The 21,590-nt window shown below is 39.3% G+C and overlaps 1 protein-coding gene across 7 annotated transcripts in view; it reads right to left on the bottom strand.

Moving 5' to 3' along the window:
• Positions 1–21,590, bottom strand: part of MCCC2 (methylcrotonyl-CoA carboxylase subunit 2) — a 71,367-nt gene that overhangs the window by 2,779 nt on the left and 46,998 nt on the right. For 2 of the 7 annotated variants that reach the window (NM_022132.5, NM_001363147.1), the window contains 8 exons: positions 20,886–20,985; positions 20,682–20,777; positions 14,853–14,925; positions 12,033–12,109; positions 9,651–9,717; positions 6,675–6,831; positions 5,745–5,859; positions 3,174–3,259 (listed from right to left, as the gene is read on the bottom strand). In NM_022132.5, coding sequence (NP_071415.1) covers positions 3,174–3,259; positions 5,745–5,859; positions 6,675–6,831; positions 9,651–9,717; positions 12,033–12,109; positions 14,853–14,925; positions 20,682–20,777; positions 20,886–20,985 — 771 coding nt within the window. The other 5 variants (XM_017009688.2, XM_047417469.1, XM_011543529.3 and 2 more) reach the window with 3 other exon arrangements.

The following is a 21,590-nucleotide window of genomic DNA, read 5'->3' as shown; positions in this document are numbered from 1 at the left end:
CAGTACATTTTATTAATAAAATAGATACCTTCAAATGTAGGTCTTTATTTTTTGCTACAATAGGAAAAACAATAACTTTAAACTGCTTGCAGAAGAAACTTTTAAGTAGAAATTTTAGTTTCCTTCTCATTGACAACCTCAAATGTATAACGAAAAATGACTGAGAAATATTACTTTTTAAAGGTTATTAGTAGGTGGCAGTTTGCTTTTTTTATATAAACTCCCTTCGGTATCTGAACCTGGCATCAACTATTAAACCATTCTTACATTGACAGACATGAATCAAACCTTTGCTCATAAAACATTCATAATAGGGACCCTAAAGTATCAACACCCAATAAAAAGAAAGCCACTCTTGTCATCTGCAACCAGGTGAATTGATTACACTCCCTCTGAAGCCTGCAGCACAGCAAGCATGGTGATGAAGGGGCTGCTTAATAATGTTCATTAAAAAGACTGCCCCAGGTAAGAGGCACTAATGAAATGCCGGATAAAAGTTTGATTATAAAAACAACTGAGCAGAAGCAAATTGGCACGCTACATATGTAACCTATTAGGATTAAGGAAAACATTGTAGGTTTCAGTAACTGATAATAACAAGCTCTGTCTCTGAAAAGACAGATCTAGCCATGTTCAAACCTAAGCAGGCCAGGGAATTTTACTGTGAAGCTGAGATTTACTAAACCCAAGGAAGGTACCATAAACTGGCTTGGAAATCCTTTCAGCTTTGAAAGAAAGCTGCTGTCTCCATGCCACCAGCTGTTTCAACAGAAGGGTTAAACATCTACAGATCTGGCCAGGTGCAGTGGCTCATGCCTGTAATCCCAGTACTTTGGGAAGCCGAGGCGGGTGGATCACCTGAGGTTGGGAGTTCGAGACAAGCCTGACCAACATGGAGAAACCCCATCTCTATTAAAAATACAAAATTAGCCAGGCGTGGTGGCACACGCCTGTAATCCCAGCTACTCGGGAGGCTGAGGCAGGAGAATCCCTTGAACCCAGGAGGCGGAAGTTGCAGTGAGCCGAGATCATGCCATTGCACTCCAGCCTGGGCAACAAGAAACTCTGTCTCAAAAAAAAAAAAAAAAAATCTACAGATCCACAGAAAACTTTACTGTCTGTTAACATTTATTTCCAAAGATAAGTCTCTCTGGGCCATTTACTCTTCTGCCTTGAATGTAATCCATTAAAAAATAATAATAATGTTAGTATGAAAATAATAAAAGATGCAATCTTTCTCAAGAGATGATTTATCTTAGCCAGGGCTGAAAAACAAGCTAACAGCTCACACAAAATACACAATTTTTCAAACTTTAATATTTCAGCTGTCCCTGTGTATTTCAGTCAAAATCTTATGTGGAAAAAAAAAACTATAGAAAAGCTTAACAATATATATTTTATATTTCATCTCAAACCTCTTATACGGCTTTCTATTGCTTCTTTCCATTTACTGGCTACTATATGTCTGTTTACACGATGATAAAATCAGGAACATGTTTAGCTCTCAAAGACTATAAAATATTTTGTTCTTAATTAAATGAATCAAACCACCACAATAAAATATACCTGTAAATTTGTTTGTAAAAATATATATTCAGCAAAAAACCTTTAAAAATTCCCAAATATTGGCCAGCCACGATTACAGGTGGCTCACGCCTGTAATCCAAGCACTTTGGGAGGCCGAGGCAGGATCACTTGAGCTCAGGCATTCAAGACCAGCCTGGCCAACATGGTGAAACCCCATCTCTACAAAAAATACAAAAAAATTAGCCAGGTGTGGTGGCACATGTCTGTAGTCCCAGCTTTGGAGGCCGACGCAAGAGGATTGCTTGAGTCCGGGAGGCAGAGATTGCAGTGAGCTGAGATCACGTCACTGCACTCCAAACTGGGCAACAGAGTGAGACTCTGTCTTTAAAGAAAACAAAAACAAAAACACATACACACACCCAAATGGTATTATTTATCTCCTCAAACTAATTATGTTCTTGAAAATCAGTATGTTTTGTCTTTGTATCCACCAAGGAACCATTCAAATGATTGTAATGGACTCTAACTTTTGCTTTTTTTTTTTTTTTTTGAGATAGGGCCTTGTTCTGTCACCCAGGTTGGAGCACAGTGGCATGATCTCGGCTCACTGCAGCCTTGACCTCCCAGGTTCAACTGATCTGCTTGCCTCAGCCTTCTGAGTAGCTGGGACTACAGGTGCACACCATCACGCCTGGCTAATTTTTGTATATTTTTTGTAGAGACTGGGTCTCACCATGTTGCCCCGCTAGTTTCGAACTCCTGGGCTCAAGCAATCTGCCCGCCCTGGCCTCTCAAAATGCTGGGATTATAAGTGTGAGCCACTGTGCCTGGCCTGATTTTCTTTTCTCTCCCCTCTCCTCTCCAGTTTGCCTTCGCCAGCATAAATTACAACATAAGCTAATTTTACAAGATGCAGAAAGAGTTACTTTCTTTTTTCCATCTGCCCAAGGGATGAAAGGAAGACATGAAGCTTAGATTAGTCTTCGGAATGCAGAACACTAAAGTTGTTGAAGAAAGATGTGAAAGCAGGCACCAGCAGGTCTTCAGCTGGGACAGGCATGATAATTTATTACCTCATTAAGTGGTGTAAGAAAAAAACCGAGCCAACAGCGGCAATGGTCTGTGAGGTAATTATTTGGCGCCGACACACAGACCCTGGCAGTGACTAATCACCTTTCAAACGTACAAGCATACTTGTCAACAAATGCCAGTAAGTGTTCAACCAATCTCATGTTTAAAATGGGGTAAAAACAAAATGATCAAGGAGAGGGGTTTTTAAGCAAAAATTAGAACTTCTGAAGTAACACAGCCAAGCTTATAACTTATTCTCGGCTCCTAACATGGCCCACCTTGGGCTGCAGGACCCCTCCAGGCCCCAGACACCTCAACTAGGGGGAAGACAAGGGAAGCGAGAATCAGACCACTGGTGGTGAGTCCACAGTGCAGGGATGCTGGGAGGAGGGGTGGCATTTCAGCAGTAGCCATTCAGATTGTAAAGAAACAACAGTACAAAATTAAGTGTGTCCAAATGTTATTTTCCAGTTCCTATGAATGCTGGACCATCTCAACTACACAGAGCTCTGTAAAGCTGTTCCTCTGACTGCCATCTGCACCCATCAGAGAGTTAGTGATGTTCTGGCCCCCACCTTGCGCTGGAATAGTAAGGGTTTCCTTCCTCTTCAAACTTCTTAATGATGGGCTCTTTTAAAGCCGCTTCATCAGCACTGGAGAACTAAAGGAAAAGAGGCCATGAGTAAGTCAGCTTCAGTGAACAACTGGCCCTGTTTAGATCATCTCAATTCAAAAGAAACAACAGATGTCATGAATAATAATGTTACATCTAACATGTGCATAGTGATGTATAAATTACAAGTGATCATTAACATACACGCTAAGACATGAGTATCAAGTTAGTGCCCCATCCCATCTCTCCTAACAGAGACAATATCCTGAGGCTATTTCACGTAAGGTGAAAGCCCAGGGTACTGTGTATCACAGCAAGGTACAATAATAGATGTGAATTATACAACCCAACAAAAGGGCTGCATTACACTTAGCAACCTCCAGTTAAGAATGTGGAAAAGTATGAGATTCTCATTTAAAATAGCCAAAATTTAAAACTTAAGCTTAAATGTTTAAGCTTAAAGGGGTAAAATACCAACCAAATCTTGAATAACCTTTTCAGTCAAGTTCCCAGAGAACTGAGAGATATTTTCCCCTAATTAAGAATTTCACAGCCTTCCCATCAGTATTACAAGGATCAAGTGATAATTAATTCAGATGTAAAAATCTTCAGAACTTAATTTGAAACCCTGAAAAATACTTTCAACTCAAAAAGCAACTCGACAGCAGAAACAAAGACTTATTTCAAATAAACTCTACCTTCTTTTACGTAAATATGCTAATACCTTAATATCATTTTCTAGGTCACGAATTCTGAGGGAGAACCATTAACACACTGTGCTTTCCTTTCCTGTATAAAAATGAATGAATTCAAGTATCTGTATATTGAAGTAATCAAAGAACAACTACTTAATAAGAGATCACCATGCTAGGCTTCATAGAGTTTCAGACATGTCTTTGAAGTATCAGGTAGAATTTCATATCTCACCTCCCCCACCCACACACCCACACCCCAACCACTCGCACAAAAGCAAAGCTATCTGTTTCCTTTGATACTAGTAGGTACTAAAGTGAATCTGAAACCTCAATGTAAGTCTCCAGAGTTCCGAGTGCTTGGAAAAGACAACTAGGGATGTGAGGCATGGATGGATGCATTCAGGGAGGCAGTACCTCACTCCACAATCTAGGTGGAAGACCTGATGATTCCTGCACAGAGCAGACAGGGCTCCCTCCATTCCATCCCTTCCCATAATGAGACAACAGTGTACCTAAGCAACTTCAGGAACACACAACCATCATCTTCATACTTGGTGCTTACACAGGAGTTAAAAGTTGTAACTAATAAAAATTAATGCAAAATTTCAAACAATCTCCAACAGAGACACAAACAAAAGAATTCATTTTAAAAGCAGCCGCTTGCTGATCTGCCTTTCATCAAGTTTCCACTGCCCTTTCCATTTTTCTTCATTTATACACAGGATAATGTTATTCAATTCTCAATAGATGACGGAGCCCTCCCACTCAGGGTATCCTTAACAACAATCTAAAAGTAAAATAGAAAGAACAAAATTCTGCTGCTTTTGGTCATAAAATCAAAGTAGTACATCAGACTTATTTAAATCTCACTAAGTACAAATGACTAAGAATCAAACATCTTTATGCCTCAGATACTTACTGTCAGTTTCTAAAGTGTTTTCTTGGCTGGGCATGGTGGCACACACCTGTAATCCCAGCACTTTGGGAGGTGGGCAGATCACTTGAGGTCAGGAGTTTGAGAGCAGCCTGGCCAACATAGTGAAACCCTGTCTCTACTAAAAATACAAAAATTAGGCCGGGCGCGGTGGCTCAAGCCTATAATCCCAGCACTTTGGGAGGCCAAGGCGAGTGGATCACAAGGGCAGGAGATCGAGACCATCCTGGCTAACACAGTGAAACCCCATCTCTACTAAAAATACAAAAAAATTAGCCAGGCATGGTAATGGGCACCTGTAGTCCCAGCTACTCGGGAGGCTGAGGCAGAAGAATGGCGTGAACCTGGGAGGCGGAGCTTGCAGTGAGCCGAGATCGTGCCACTGCACACCAGCCTGGGCGACAAAGCGAGACTCTGTCTCAAAAATAAATAAATAAATAAATAAAAATACAAAAATTAGCCTGGCGTGGTGGCACACACCTGTAATCCCAGCTTCTCAGGAAGCTGAGGCATGAGAATTGCTTGAACCCAGGAGGTGGAGGCTGCAGTGAACCGAGATTGCGGCACTCCACTCCAGCCTGGGTGACAGAGCGAGACTCTGTCTCAAAAATTTTAAAAATAAATAAAAATAAAATAAAAAAGTGTTTTCTTGGAAATTCTGAAACAATTTTAAATGGCCACAAAGAAAGTACCCCAAATGAAATGGCTTTAAAAAGATAAAGGACAGAAATCATGTGATTTGCTGGAACAACTTCCAGGGCAGCACAGTCTAAATATGGCCAGGCAGTGTGCGCCAGGTCCCCAGCCATGAACACCAAGGGCTTCCAGGCACGCTGCTCCTTGGCTCCAGGGTGTTTATGGTGAGAGGCAAAACCAGAGAGAAACAAGAGAAAACGACACCGACCTGCTTTCCTTCCCGGGCTCTTTGGTCCTTTGTTATCGTGGCCAACACATTGGCTGCCTGCTCTCCTCCCATCACTGAGATACGAGCATTTGGCCAAATGTAGAGAAATCTTGGGCTGGGGGAAGAAAAGGAAGAATAAACAAATTAAGTCAATATACAACATAGATTTTCAGAGGCCCATGTTTGCCTTTTAAATTAGTGGTTCCTGATTCTGGCTGCACATTACAATCATCTGTAGAGCTTTCACAAATATACAAATGCCTGGAACACACCCCAGACTAGACTCCAGAGGAGGGTCCTGAGCACAGATGGGACTTCTAAGTTCTCCATGTAATTCTGGGTATAAAAGCGTTCATAATATCCTCTCATGATCTACAGTCATGTCCTTTTTTCCATTCCTGATAGTGGTTATATGTGCTGTCTCTCTTTATTTTTTAGTTTAAGCATAAGATTATCAAGTTTGTTGAACTTTCAAACCAAACAACTTTGGGCTATACTGATTCTTCTATCTGATGTCTGCTCTTCATTATGTCCTTTCTATTTGTCACGGGTTTAACGTGCTGTTCTTTGAACTTCCCACAGATGAAGGCTTAGCTCACTGACTTGCAGTCTTGCTTCTTTTCCCGTATATGCCTTTAAGGCTACATACCTTTCTCAGAGCCAGACTTTAGCTGCACTGCACAAATCTTAATGTGTGGCATTTTCATTATCAGCCATTTCAAGTATTTCTTGACTCCCATTGTAGATTTCTTCCAAATAACACCTTTGGCATTAAATTTCATTTCACCCCTCCAAATGATACAAATTACGGTATAATTGATTGAGATCTGGGAATGGCATTCTATATTTCAAATACACCTGAAATAAACTGACCATGTATTTTATACTTGAAGCATGTTTCTTTGTTTCAGAGAAAATCATGACACCTACCTATATGCTCTGCCACACATCCCATAGTTTCCGGCTCCATAGGAGCCCCCAATGATGAGGGTTATCTTAGGCACTTGGGCACAGGCCACAGCGGCCACCATCTTGGCACCATCCTTGGCAATTCCTTCAGCTTCATACTCTCTACCAACCATAAATCCTGAGAGAAAGATCAGAAAGAGAGCCTCTGGGTGATGGGATTAATATGCGGAACGCAATTCCACCAAAAGGACATCTTGTTTTACTAAACTCATCTTACTAAATGCCTCTCGCCTTAAGAAAATGTTTATATGTGAAACATACCGTTAAAAAGTTTGCTTTAAAAGGATAAAATAAAATTTTCTCTAATCACTTTCTAAATTTTCTTAAAGCAGTTCATCTGGATGCACACAGAAACCTTCAAACAATATGAGGATGCAATCTATCTTCAAGAGATGATCTTGGCTGGGTGCAGTGACTCACCCCCATAATACCAACAATTTGGGAAGCCTAAGCGGGAGGATCAGTTGAGGCCAGGTGTTTGAGACCAGCCTGGGCAACAAAGCGAGACCCTACCTCTATTTAAAAATAAATAAATAAAAATTTTAAAAAGGAGATGATGTCAAAGAAGCAGCTTGATGCTGAAAAGAATGTGACATGGCTAGTTAAGGACAAAGTGCTGTGATGAGCCTAACTATGAGGGCTTTAGCTTTCACTGACCTGGTTTTAAAACAGACTGTTCTTTCTAAAGTGATGCTTTGAAACTTTGAAGACATAAAGATGAATGTTTCATAGAGATGCTAACAGTCCCTGCCAGTGACTCAATAGCAAGGTTAAAAAAAAACTATTTTTCCATTTCAATAGAGGATCCTTCTATTTCTTCAAGCCCCTAGCTCTGTGGAGGCTGCTCTGCAACTTCACTGCCTTCCAGAACTTGGGTTCCTCTTTCTCTGCCTTATAACACTGAGTTGGGCTTCGCTTGTCTCCTTACCCCGCAAGTCTCCAGCAAAGGCATTTCTTCCATCTGTGGGCCTGCAGACTCACCTGCCTCATTGACTGCCACTATCCCTGGTTTGCCAAACTCCAGTATCTGGTCATCCAATTCAACCCAACCAGTTCCTCCAGAGCACGTGTGCCTTCTGCAGTCACCACAGGAATGGCAGCACAGCCCTTTACTTGGCACCATCTGCTTCCTGCAGCTATCCTACTCAGCTGGACCCTCAGAAAAGCTCAGAAACTCCTCAATCTCCCCAGCCTTGACTCCATTGTAACATTCCCACCATACCTACTTCAAATATCAGCTGTCTTCAAGTTCTCACCCCACCCAACCCGACCCACCATCCCTCTATTCTCTGGAGGGGATCCTGCCTTCAAAAAGAAGAGTGAGGCATCTCACTTCGCTTTCTCAAATCCTTCTTCTTCCAATCTTAAGAAAACTGCATAATCATGCTCCCCATCTTCCTTTACTCTTGAAGAAAAAGGAAAAAATCAGAGGTACTCGAAGACTGTCACTGAACCTTCTTCTCTTCTCTCAGGGGGGTTCTTATCTATTCCCACAGCTTTAAAATTACCTCCATATTCTGATGATGTCTACATTTGCATCTCTACCTAAAACACCTCTCCTGTGCTGAGACTTATTCACCTGCCCACTATATGCCTCCAGGTGAATATCCCACAGGAACCTCAAATGCAATGCTGAAAAACTAAACTCAACCCAACAGGGCCAAAACAAAACAAAACAAAAATGTAGATATCTTCAAACCACAGAGTTTTAACTGCCTGGTGGTTAACAATCCAGGAATCATTATTAAAAACAAGAACTCTGGTATAGTTAGGCTTCAGAATCCTTTCTATCTGCCCTTTTACATAAGTTACCATGCAGGACCCTCTTAGGCTGCCATTTGGATATAACTTCTCTCAACATTCATCTAACCAAATATCATGAACCTAAGTAGCTCACAGGATGAAGATGCTTTAGCACCAGTACTATTTCAAGCCCTGTTGACTGCCAAGAGCCTGACTCTTCCTTCTCAAAGAGGCTTGCATGATCCCAACAAGTACTAAGAGCCTCTCCTTCCTTTGAAGCTGAGGTAGCCTGGGATGGGGGAGGCTGTTTTCTGCTAACCAACATATCTGAGTGCCCTGTATATCTCAGACACTCTGCAACATATAATGAAGGATACCAGAGAATCAGAGAATTCACTCTTCAACCGTAACAGACCTTAAAAATCAATTTATCCACCATGTTAAGGTCATCTCTGGAGTAAAGTCCAGAGAGGTGACATATCTCACTTTGGTCATACCATTCTTTGGGGCCAAAACTCAAATCCCCAGACTTTGGTTCAGGGTATACACATACATTTTAAAATGATGTTACTTAAGTTGAATTAACTGTACAATAAAAGGGAAGACCGTAGCACGTGCCTGAAATCTTGAGGAGGAAAAGGGTCCTAGGAAAAGCATGATGCTCTCTGCAGTGATCAGATCATGCTCCTGCTGCTTTCTGGGTGTGTGGCTGTGCACACACAGGAGTAAAGGGTGGCCATGTGAATGCTGATCAGGTACATAACTCAGAAATAGCTTCACTTAGAAAATATGGATAATCAGCAAGGTGTGGTGGCTCGTGGCTCATGTCTGTAGTATCAGCACTTTGGGAGAACAAGGCGGGCAGATTGCTTGAGCTCAGGAGTTTGAGGCCAGTCTGGGCAACATGGTCTGGGTGAAACTACGTCTTACAAAAATACAAAAATTAACCAGGCATGGTGGCACATGCCTGTAGGCCCAGCTACTTGGGGGAAAGAAAATATGGATAATCTCCTCAGAATATTTAACATGCATGAAGAAAAGTGCTAACTCTTAAAGGGCCTCCAGAAAGAGCATGTCCAGTAGAACTTCCTGCTCTGATGAAGTGGTCTACATGTGTGCTGTCCAATACATGAGCCACACTGATGGTACAGCTCTGGAATCAATACAACCAAACTGATTAAGCTATTTTCTTACCAGTAATGTTTTGAAGGAACAGCAGAGGAATATTTCTTTGGCAGCATAACTGGACAAAGTGAGTACCCTATAAGCAAATAACATAAAAATCTTTTTAAAAGGGAATTAACTCTATTATCATCATGCATTCTACAAACACCACAACTTCAGCCAAAGACAAGAAAGAATACTCCCCTTTAAAATTTTTTCTCTTCTTATTAATTTTTTTTTTTTAAAGAAACATGGTCTCACTCTGTTGCCCAGGCTGGAGTACAGTGGCACAATTATAGCTCACTGCAGCCTCAAACTCCTGGGCTCAAGCAATCCTCCTGTCTCAGCCTCCTGAGTAGCTGGAACTACAGGTGTGTGCTACCACTCCTGGCTAAGAATACCCTTTGTTTGGCTAGTCTTACCTTATAGAAAGAGTAACAGTAATAGTACAGTGCTACTCCATTATCAATAGGATATGTAACTGTAGGTTTGTACTACACTAGTTTTGCACAATCACCTGTATAATCACTGGCACATGGCTCTAAGACTATTGTTGCGTCAAGGATGAGGTCAATCACTAACACTGTAAACAGCAAGTGAAACTTAAGTAACAGAAAAGAAAGAACTGATGCGAATGAGAATTGCTGAACTCTGCTATATGATAATTCTCTAGCTCTCCACTTTAGAAAAGCCAGAATATAAACCCTCCTGGGATATGAAGATGACATTTCCATTTTGATGATCATCTGAAATTCTTTAATGCATCAGGATTATAGTAAATATATCATCCTTGCCAACATTCCCCAGATAAATGGGATTTTAGATTAGATGAGTGATAGAAATCTTCTAACCTTGAGTTTAGGAAATTATTTAATGATACAAAAATACAACTATTTCTTCCCTAAAGATTGTATGAGTTAGGAAACTCTTATAAACCATTTCCTTTATGTTTTAGTCTATCTGAATTTCTCTTTACTTCTGCTGGAAATGCCTTGTCAGGTACAAAATTGCAAAGTAATTGCTCGACTTCAATATGACTACGTTTACAAGAATGAGAAAATCACATAGACCTTTGGGGCTTATTTCAACAAATGAAACGTCAGGCTGAGGCCAAACATAACTCCTCTGGGGTTTATTTGTACCAAGCTGACAAATAAAGCCAGGCAGAGTTTGTTTGGACTCACTCTGACATTTCCTCTATTGAAATAAGTATATTATATATTCATTAAAAGTCATTATTTCAGGAATATCTAATATTTTGAGAAATACTGTCTATATACTATTAAATGAAAACATGCAAAACCTCTCTATATATAGCATATCAATTTTTTAAAAAAAGGAAACTATTAAGAAAAAATAATAAAATGTTACTAAAAGCTATTTCTGGTATAATTATAAGTGATTTTTTATTTTTGTTACTTTTAATTTCTTGTTCTCATTTTATAATCAAGTTGAAGGAGTAATAATAAGTAGCAGAATACAGAAACCAATTTTATTGATAAAAAATTTCACCAAAGACAAATTCTTCCTCAATTAGGGTATGAAAGAGCTTAACTGCCTATTACCTGCATCAATAAAGAGAACTTTTACCCTGTTATTTCAAGAGAAAAAGCAATACTAAACATATTTTTTCTTAAGGAAACATTTTATTTCCTGAAGTAGTTTGGTGAATTAAAATTTTTTTAAAAGACATTTTTATCAAATAAGTATATGAATTACATTTATCCAAGTTTAGGTAAATCTGAGATGATATATGAAATCAAATAATAACTAAGCCAAAAGATATTCAAGAACTCCCTCTTTTTTCTGATGTCTTGGAGGATTGAATTAAATAATAATAATAATAAATAAAAAGAACTTCCTTTTTTAAAGTCACGGGTCCAGTAACAAAGACCCACTATTCTCATTTCCAAAAAGTAAAAATACAATAAAGTTAAAGCGATAATGGGATAGAAGAGAATAAACAGATCATGTCTCAGAACCACCTGAATCTTTGAACCATGAGACCTCTGAGTCCCTCCAGGACATGAAGCACTTTCAGGACAAGTATTCTCTATCAACTGAGAATATGTACATGTCCTCTATAGCAATTATAACTCAAGTATCTTAGGAGAATTTTCCTAAAATGAGTACATTTTTAATAGTGCTCCAGATGGTTCGTCACAGCATGTTAATGTAAACCACCATAAAAACTGTTTCAAATACTAACATACATGCACATATATACACACGCGCGCACACACACACACACACACACACACACACACACACACATGCCCGCGCACACAGTGTTCTGGTTGCTGAGGCATCTAGTTAAGCATTTTTATGCAATAAATTTTAACTCATTATTTGACCTTCAACGTTATGTTAAATTAAAACAGAAAATCTTGAAATATTTTTAACAGTACTTGCCTTTTTTGCAGATTCAGAAAAGAGAACTCCGTTGTTTCCAACGATACCTACTGGGTACCCAAATATTCGAGCAAATCCTCAAAAGAAAGTTCAAAGAAGATTTATGTCTTGTGCTTTTCCAAGGGCTTCAATTCACAAGAAAGAGGCATATTTACACATTCTTTAATATCAGATCCAAGTTTAAAATGCAAAGAGATTTTGTCTATGGTATAAAACAGCTCATGTCACAATCTTCTTGTTCCTAAGGTCCTAGACTCTGGTTTCTTTTGCTTCTAGAAAGGGTCACGATACATGTAGAGTTATCCATTTGTCTTGATTGATTTGATTAAATAATTGGCTTAGTGTATTATCCATTTATTCATTTAATATATCTGAGTGTCTAGTATGTACCAGACACTAGGGATACTATAAAAATATCATTTTTAATATCAAAATAATTATTGAAGAAAAATTAACAGATAAGAGAGAGTATCAACATACTGATAAGCCAGAAAACTGAATTTTTTTTTGAGACAAGGTCTCACTCTGTTGCCTAGGCTGGAACACAGTAGCACAGTCATGGCTCACTGCAGCCTCAAATTCTCAGGCTTCAAGTGATCCTCCCTCTTACCTCAGCCTCCTGAGTAGCTGAGACTACAGACACTCACCCCCACACCCAGCTAGTTTTTGTATTTTTTGTAGAGATGGGGTTTCGCTATGTTGCCAGGCTGGTCTGGAACTCCTGGGCTCAAGTGATCCTCCCACCTTGGCCTCCCAAAGTACTGGGATTATAGGCATGAGCCACCACGCCCAGCCTGAATCTTTAAAGATTTGTTTTTTTTTTCTTCTTTACTCTGGCTTTGTCTGGGTTTATGACTTTTTAAAAATCATCATGTTCTTATTTATCTATTTATGAGACAGGGTCTTTTTCTGTCGCCCAGGCTGGAATGCAATGGCGAGATCATGGCTCACTGCAGCCTCAACCTCCCGGGCTCAAGTGATCCTCCCACCTTGGCCTCCCAAGCAGCTGGGACTATAGGCCCCAGTAGTCACTACACCTGGCTAACTTATCATGTTTATTTAATGTGATACAATGAAACCCTGATTTGATGGCCACCTACATGTATTTCAGTCCTAAAATCCCAGCCAAAAACTTATGCAGTACATCCTAAATGGCACTGCCACTTACAGAAGCAATTCAGAAAGGGGTAAACTTCCAAAAAGTCCAGAAATCCATTCTTAGTCCTGCTTCACTGCACAAAGACATGGGAATTTAACACATCACTCACTGGAAAGATGCTGCCCCTGCAAATGCGCAACCCTGTTAACTACTTAGATTCAACCCACACTAGGCCCCACTTAGGGATCTCCAGGCACAGACAGGATGCGCTGAGTAGGGAACATGTCCCCACACTACTAGGGACACCCATAGAGGGACGGTCTTCACCAACTGCCTGATCAAACCTGAGTTACAAACGGGAAAGCACAGTGTCCAAGAAACGACTAGAGGCTACACATGGTAAGTGCTGAGGCAGGAGGAAACCCTGAGGAACTTCCAGAGACATTTGAGAACCAGAAAAATCTGTCCTTCCCTCTCACCTCCTCACCCTTTATGCCTCCCACCTTCTCATTCCTCCCATCCTTCTTATCCGCCACCCCCACCCCCAACTCCCACCACCAGCCTCTCATTCCCTTCTTCTCCTTCTCACTCCCCTTCTCTGTCCCTAAATGTATTTGAACTCCAGTACAGTCAAGAGATGGAAGAAACCAGGTTGTGTACTCTAGGGGATAAGAGTGCCACAGGGCTTTTAGCAAGTAGGAGGCAAATCCATAAAAGCAGATGACAAAGACAGCCCATCCATCTTTACAGAAAGCAGAAATGGCTTTGACTTGTTTTAAACTGCTACACAATGACTGTTACATTCTGAACAATTTGGTGACAAATCCTGTCTATATATCAAACAAAAAGCTTTTAATCACTTAAACACCTAAGTACAAAAACATAAATTCTACTCCCAGTGTGAACCCTTCTTTTGTTCACAAATCAAACTAGGACAAAGTACTGTGATTTATCCTTAAGCCTCAATGTATATTTGCAATTTGGATTTCTGCAGCTAGTTTTTTTCCTACTCTGGTATTACCTTTGACTAACTACTATATTTTCAAGTTTTTTATGAACAAGTAAAATTCACAAAATTTGTTCTTCCATTTGTCCCAAATAGATTATTATGGGTCTAGCATCTATCTCAAAAACTCTTCTTCAAAGGCCTATAAACTAAACAGTTTAGATTTAAAAAATTAACTTTTATAAACATCCTTATTTTGTTTTTCCTGACGTGATATACTGAATTCTCAATCTAGTGTCTGCATGAATCAGCTTAAGACCTACACAGAGGCTGTGAGAAGGTTTAACTCACTCTATATCCTTCTGGGAAGCTAAACACAATATAAAACTTCCTCGTTGAATTGGACAGTAAAGAACAAAGGAAACAGTGCTGAAACTTTCAAAATAATTATTGTTATCCAGAAAAACAAAAAGAACTACAAGTATTTTCTACTAATTTTACTATAAGAACCTTTTTATACAACTAATGTCACAAAGTCACAGATAGGGACCCACACCACAGCATCTAGCTATTAACATTTTAAACTATTTGGATCCATGAAGCCATTAAGCTACAAATTATGTTTATAAAGCAGTTCCTTTTAAAAGTGGCTCACACATTTGTAGTGCTCTCAACAACAAAGCCCATGTCAAGTGTATCAAAGTCTTGAAACAAGAGATTCCTGATTTTCAAAGCAGCAGAAAATGTTCGTATTTTCAATTCTTCACCTTTATACCTGTAACTAATGTGTCTCCATAAAAGGCTTTGAACTCAGTGAATCTGCTTCCATCCACGATTCTAGCAATGACCTAAGAGGAAAAACAACAATGGCCTTGAGAAATTATATTGCAAAAGAATTTTTGTATTAAAGTTACTTATAGGAAAACAATTCACAGTGAAGTTGTCACTTTCACAAAATTTCACACTACACAGAAAATCTCACTAGAATTTCATTTGACATGCCTGGTTAATGCCCTGAAGTCATTCTGGGTTCTGATTTTATACTTCACTATACAAGCAACAGCACCATGCTGCATGCAAGAAAAGCAGGAAAGGCTCCAAGGGCTGGTTGCTAGACTTAGAGCTTCAAGGACTGTTCGAATGTACCGGCAGAGGTTCAGGGATGCAATGAGAAAGCTGGGTAGAGACAGGGCTCAGAGTCAAAAGACACAGGCTCCAATCTAAGGTATCAAGTATGACTGGTATGCCCTGGAGTAAGTCACTTCACCCCTCTGAGTCTCAGTTCTCACTTCTGGAATGATGGAACAGAAGAGCTGTGAAGATATGATCTACTTGTAAGGAAGTAGGAACCTACAAAAATCATGCTGACATGAAAAGCCAGCTCTGACTCCCAGCTCTCCGACTGAGAAACTAGAAAATTCTTTAAGCTTCAGTTTCCTCATCTGTTAAAAAAAAAAAAAAAAAAAAATGTAAAAAGTGCTAACTATTCCTTTCAGCAAGAAATAATAAATTAGAAAAAAAAATAAAAGGATAAACAGCACTATCAGTTAACAGGGTAGAAAAAAGAAAAATAAAAAAGTAAAAAATAAAAATAAAGTGCTAACTAAAGCATACTGTCAGGCTCTCATTAAAGTGTAGCTATCACTATTATTAAGCACTTAATAAAGACTCATTGATTCTGAATCTGGTATACTTGAAGGATCATCCACATATGTATAAAGGAGTGGAAATTACTAAATAGTTTATCCCTGGGGCTTATCATTATATATCAGGACTACTGTAAGGAGTTCTAAACAGGAAGCATATTTTCAATTTCAGAAACTATTTTAGATGATACATACTATTTTTCTACATAGTTTGCACTTCGCTTTTTCTGTCTGCCACATCAATCAAAATCTTGTTTTGTATGATGCAAAGGCTGAAAACTGAGTGAATGCTTCCCAACATCTTTCTCACCATCAAGTAAAAGTTTACTCTGAATTATTTTTTACTTCTTTTCCTAAAAAATCCAATAATACAATGGGAATGTAACAGTTATCTGTTTTGGGTGCTATATACCTGTAAAAATTGTACCTTTAACAAGCAATCAACACGTAACAACTATCATTCTTCCACACAGAGATACGGCTGCTCAAAGGGCACAGCAATTTAGGACCATTTAGTGAAAAACTATGTTGTATTTGCATTACAATTAACACCACCAGGCCACATAAAATACATTCACTTATCTTCACAAAAAATCCATAATGTCGAGAAAGCAAAAACAGCCTTGTTGCTGATATGGAGAAGGTTTGAGTAGTCTGGATAGAAAATCAAGCCAGGCACAACATTCCCTTTAATCCAGAGCAAGGTCTTAACTCTCTTCAGTTCCCTGAAGGCTTGGATAGGTGAAGTCGCAGAAGAAAAATTTGAAGCTAGCAGAGATTGGTTCATGAGGTTTAAAAAAAAAAAAGCCATTTGTACCACAAAAGTATAAGGTGAGGCAGCAAGTGCTGATGTATTATAGAAGCTACAGCAAGTTATCCAGAAGATCTAGCTAAGATCATTGATGAAGGTGGCTACATTAAACAACAGATTTTCAGTGTAGATGAAACAGCCTTCTGGTGGAAGAAGATGCCACCTAGGACTTTCATAGCTGGGGAGAGGTTAGTGCACGTCGTCTGAGGACAGGCTTACTCTCTCGTTAAAGGCTAATGCAGCTGGTGACTTTAAGTTGCAGAATTATCCTAAATCTACTCTGCCTGTGCTCTATAAATGTAACAGCAAACCCTGGATGACAGCATACGTATTTGTGGCATGGTTTAATGAATTTTTAAGGCCACTGTTGAGACCTACTACTCAGAAAAAAAGATTTCTTTCAAAATATTACTGCTCACTAACAATATACCTGGTCACTCAAGACTCTGATAGAGATGCACAAAGAGATGAGTGTTCTTTTCATGCCTGCTGTTATAACATCCACTCTGTAGCCCACGGAGCAAGGAGTCATTTTTACTTTTAAGTCTTATTATTTAAGAAATACATTTCCTGGGCCGGGCGTGGTGGCTCACACCTGTATTCTCAGCACTTTGGGAGGCCAAGACGGGTGGATCACCTGAGGTCAGGAGTTCAAGACCAGCCTGACCAATATGGTAAAACCCTGTCTCTACTAAAAATACAAAAATTAGCTGGGAATGGTGGCATGCACCTGTAATCCCAGCTACTTGGGAGGCTGAGGCAGGAGAATTGCTTGAACCTGGAAGATAGAGGTTGCAGTGAGCCAAGATTGCGCCACTGCATTCCAGCCTGGGCGACAGAGCGAGACTCCGTCTCAAAAAAAAAGAAATACATTTCCTCAGGCTATAGCTGCCATAGATAGTGATTCCTCTGACAGATCTGGGCAAAGTAAATCGAAAACCTTTTGGAAAGGATTCACCATTCTAGATGCCATTGAGAATATTCACGATTCATGCGAGGAGGTCAAAATATCAACATTAAGGATATTTAATTAAATTAAAGATACTGGAAGAAGTTGATTCCAACCCTCATGGGTAACTTTGAGGGGTTCAAGATTTCAATGGATGAAGTCACTTCAGATGTGGTGGAGATAACTAGAGTTAGAAGTGGAGTCTGAAGATGTAACTGAACTGCTGCAATTTCATGTTCAAACTTGAACAGATGAGGAGCTGCTTCTTATGAATGAGCAAAAAAAGAAGTTTCTTGAGATAGAATGTACTCCTGGTGAAGATGCTACAAACACTGTGAAATGACAATTACGGATATAGAGTATTACATAAATTTAGTTAATAAAGCAGTAGTCAGGTTTGAGAGGACTGACTCATTTTGAAAGTTCTACCCTGGGCCAGGCGCGGTGGGTGATGCCTGTAATCCCAGCACTTTGGGAGGCCGAGGCGGGCAGATCATGAAGTCCGGAGATCAAGACTATCCTGGCTAATACGGTGAAACCCCGTCTCTACTAAAAATACAAAAAATTAGCCAGGCGCAGTGGCGGGCACCTGTAGTCCCTGCTACTCAGGAGGCAGGAGAATGGCATGAACCCAGGAGGCTGAGCTTGCAGTGAGCTGAGATCGCGCCACTGCACTCCAGCCTGGGTGACAGAGTGAGACTCAGTCTGAAAAAAAACAAAGTTCTACCCTGGATCAAATGCTAGCAAACAGTATTGCATACTACAGAGAATATTTCATAAAAGCAAGAGTCAGTCAGTGTGGCAGACTTCATTGTTGTCTTCTTTTAAGAAATTGCCACAGCCACCCCAACCTTCAGCAACCTCTACCCTGATTAGTTGGCTGTCATTAGCATCAAGGCAAGACCCTCCACCAGCAAAAGATGATTCACTGAAGGTTCAGATGATTGTTAGCATTTTTAAAAGCAATAAGGTATTTTTAAATTAATGTATGTACTTTTTAAAGGCAAGGTGCTCCTGCACACTGAACAGACTACAATATAGTATAAATATAACTTTTATATGCTCTGGAAAACCAAAAAGTTCATGTGACTCACTTTATTGTGATATTAACTTTATTGCAGTGATCTGGAACTGAACCCACAATGTATCTGAGGTGTGCCTGTGCTTTAAAATGTATTTCACACACAAATGACACAAGTTCTAACAATTGTTGACTCTATGAGGTTCATATACAGGTGATCATTGTATTATTCTTTGAACATCTCAGCATATTTGAAAATTTCTTAGGAAGAAGGGGGGAAATGTTAAAATTTCCTAGACTTATACATAGAATAATGTATCTTTAAGCTGAACTTAAAAGCTATAACTTTAATACATTTTTTTTAAAAGAATGTATTAATTGGCCAGGTGTGGTGGCTCACATCTGTAATCCCAGCACTTCGGAAGGCTGAGGTGGGCGGATCACCTAAGGTCAGGAGTTCGAGAAAAGCCAGACCAACATGGTGAAACCCCGCCTCTACTAAAAATACAAAAATTAGCCAGGTATGGTGGCGGGTGCCTGTAATCCCAGCTACTCGGGAGGCTGAGGCAGGAGAATCGCTTGAACCTGGGAAGCAGTGGTTGCAGTGGTTACACGAAAAAGGGTGAATTCTCAGCCAACCAGAGAACTTGGCTACCTGGAACAACTCATTTTTCTCTTTTATTTATTTGTTTATTTTTATCTTTATTTATTTATTTATTTATTTGAGACAGAGTCTCACTCTGTCACCCAGGCTGGAGTGCAGTAGTGCAATCTCGGTTCACTGCAACCTCTGCTCCCAGGTTCAAGCGATTCTCTTGTTTCGGCCTCCCGAGTAGCTGGGATTACAGGCATGTGCTACCACGCCCGGCTAATTTTTGTATGTTTAGTAGAGATGGGGTTTCACCATGTTAGCCAGCTGATCTCCTAGACTCAAGGGATCTGCCTGCCTCCACTTCCCAAAGTGCTGGGATTACAGGCATGAACCACTGCGCCTGGCCCAACACATTTTTCAAGTATGTCAGAGTTTAAGTACCATTTTTTCCTGTGCTTATAATTAATTAAAAGTTAAACTAAAAACCTCATTTAAAAATTTACAATTAACTAAGTCACGTTTGCTAAAGTGAAGTATCACTTGAAGCTCAATAAAATCCAGGATTTAAGACCCACTAGCAATGCTGGGGTATTGCCTAAATAAATCCATACAACAGAACATTATATCCATCAATGCATTCAGAAAATAGTTACTGACTACTTACCATGTTGCCAAGTACTATTATAGGAATTAAGATCTAGCCGTAGAAAATATTTCATGAAGAATTTCTAAAGACATGGGAAAATGTTTATAATTTAAACTAGAAAAAGTAAAACAAAAAAATATACGTATAGACTATCTCAACTACATAAAAATGTGCGTATATACACATTAACCTAAAACATCCAAATATTAGCCACCTTCTCTAGAGGGTGGAATTATATGCAATTTAATTTTTTTCTTTTCTGTATTTTCTATATTTTTCACAACTAATATATAATATTTTATAGTCAAGGGGAAAATATAATTTGAAATATTAAAACTTCCAGTACAGAATTTGATATTAAGATAATTTCCTAATTTAAAAACTACTCTGCCAACTATGGATACTGAACAAAATAAAAGACTATATGCTCTAAACCCTAAAAGTTGTCCATCTAAATTACAGAACACTATGTCGACAATGTGTAACCATAGCAACATTTTCAACTGTAATCAGGTCTAATCATTGCAAATGTCATATTGATCTAAAAGGGTATGTTTTTTCTTCCAACAACTTACTGACATTTCACCCATTTCCCAAAATAAGAACAATGAAAAGAAATAGCTGACAATTGTTAAGTTGCCTTACATCATTCATAATGTGCACAGGACATGGAGTCTTACTTATGACCAAATCACACTTTTTGCGCAATGAAAACTTTCCAATCATTGAGGTCCCCCACTCCCCTCTTTCAGTATTTACTCTGTGCCAATGATATCCACAGTATGGAAAGGTATCATTGCCACATATGTCACTCCTTACTGAGATCCACATCTATTTCTAGGCATGAACATATCTTAACAAACTTTAGCTTTGCAAATAGATACACATACAAAGAGACTCACAGCTGGTCATAAAGCTCACAGTTCCACTTTCACATACCTCTCGGACATCAAAGCTCCTCTTAAGGTTAGCACCAACTATTCCATACAATTCATCAGCAGGAAATAAAGGCTCTTCAGAAGGTTCAATGGTGACCTGCAGAAATATAGATCATGTTAACCTGTTTAAAGACATGATTTCAAGGTGCAGTGAGTCAAAATGCATTTCAGGAAAATAAAAGATATAAGAACATATCGTACTCACATCCAATTTCTTCTGATAATTTAGATTCCTCACAACCTTCCTAGTTAAGTGAAGGGCATGATGATCATCCAAAGCCCAGTGGTCACTTACTCCAGACTTTCTACAGAATAAGCAAACTAAACTTGTCAGAACAGGGAAAAGGAAAATAATTAAATATCTCAGGTCCCAAGTATCTTCTCTCATCTAAAGATGACAGCACTTTTACTTCTAAAACACTTAAAAAATTTGTCATCTTTAATAAATGTCATCTTAAGTAGTCCTTTTAAGAACTCTGGCAAAACTGTATTCCCTTTGTTTTACAAACAGGAAAAGCTGAAGTACGCATAAGTTAAGTACCTTCACCTAAGACCACAAGTAGCTACATAAGAACCCCCGCCTTCTATTTTCTAACCTTAACCTTCCTCTGCTAGACCAAGGGGCCTTGCTGACAAAGGCTTCTATTAAGTACTCATCCCCTGTACCGTAAGCAGAATTGCGTGTGATGAAGGCCAACCACAGACGGCACACTTTCATGATGTAGTTGGTTACGGCATAAACTGTGTACGTAACTGAGCTCCTAATGGAGATGCCAATTCTGGCCTCTCATTTCTGAGAGAACTCTGAGCCCCCTCCCTACAAAGTTACACTGACAGTAAGCCATCACAGGCAACAAATGAAAAGGCTTGAATACATTGGCCCTTGGATTATGGGTAAAAATCGGAACTA

This window comes from Homo sapiens, chromosome 5, assembly GCF_000001405.40.
Source record: "Homo sapiens chromosome 5, GRCh38.p14 Primary Assembly".
NCBI classification, from domain to species: domain Eukaryota; kingdom Metazoa; phylum Chordata; class Mammalia; order Primates; family Hominidae; genus Homo; species Homo sapiens.
This window is presented reverse-complemented; position numbering and strand designations above follow the sequence as displayed.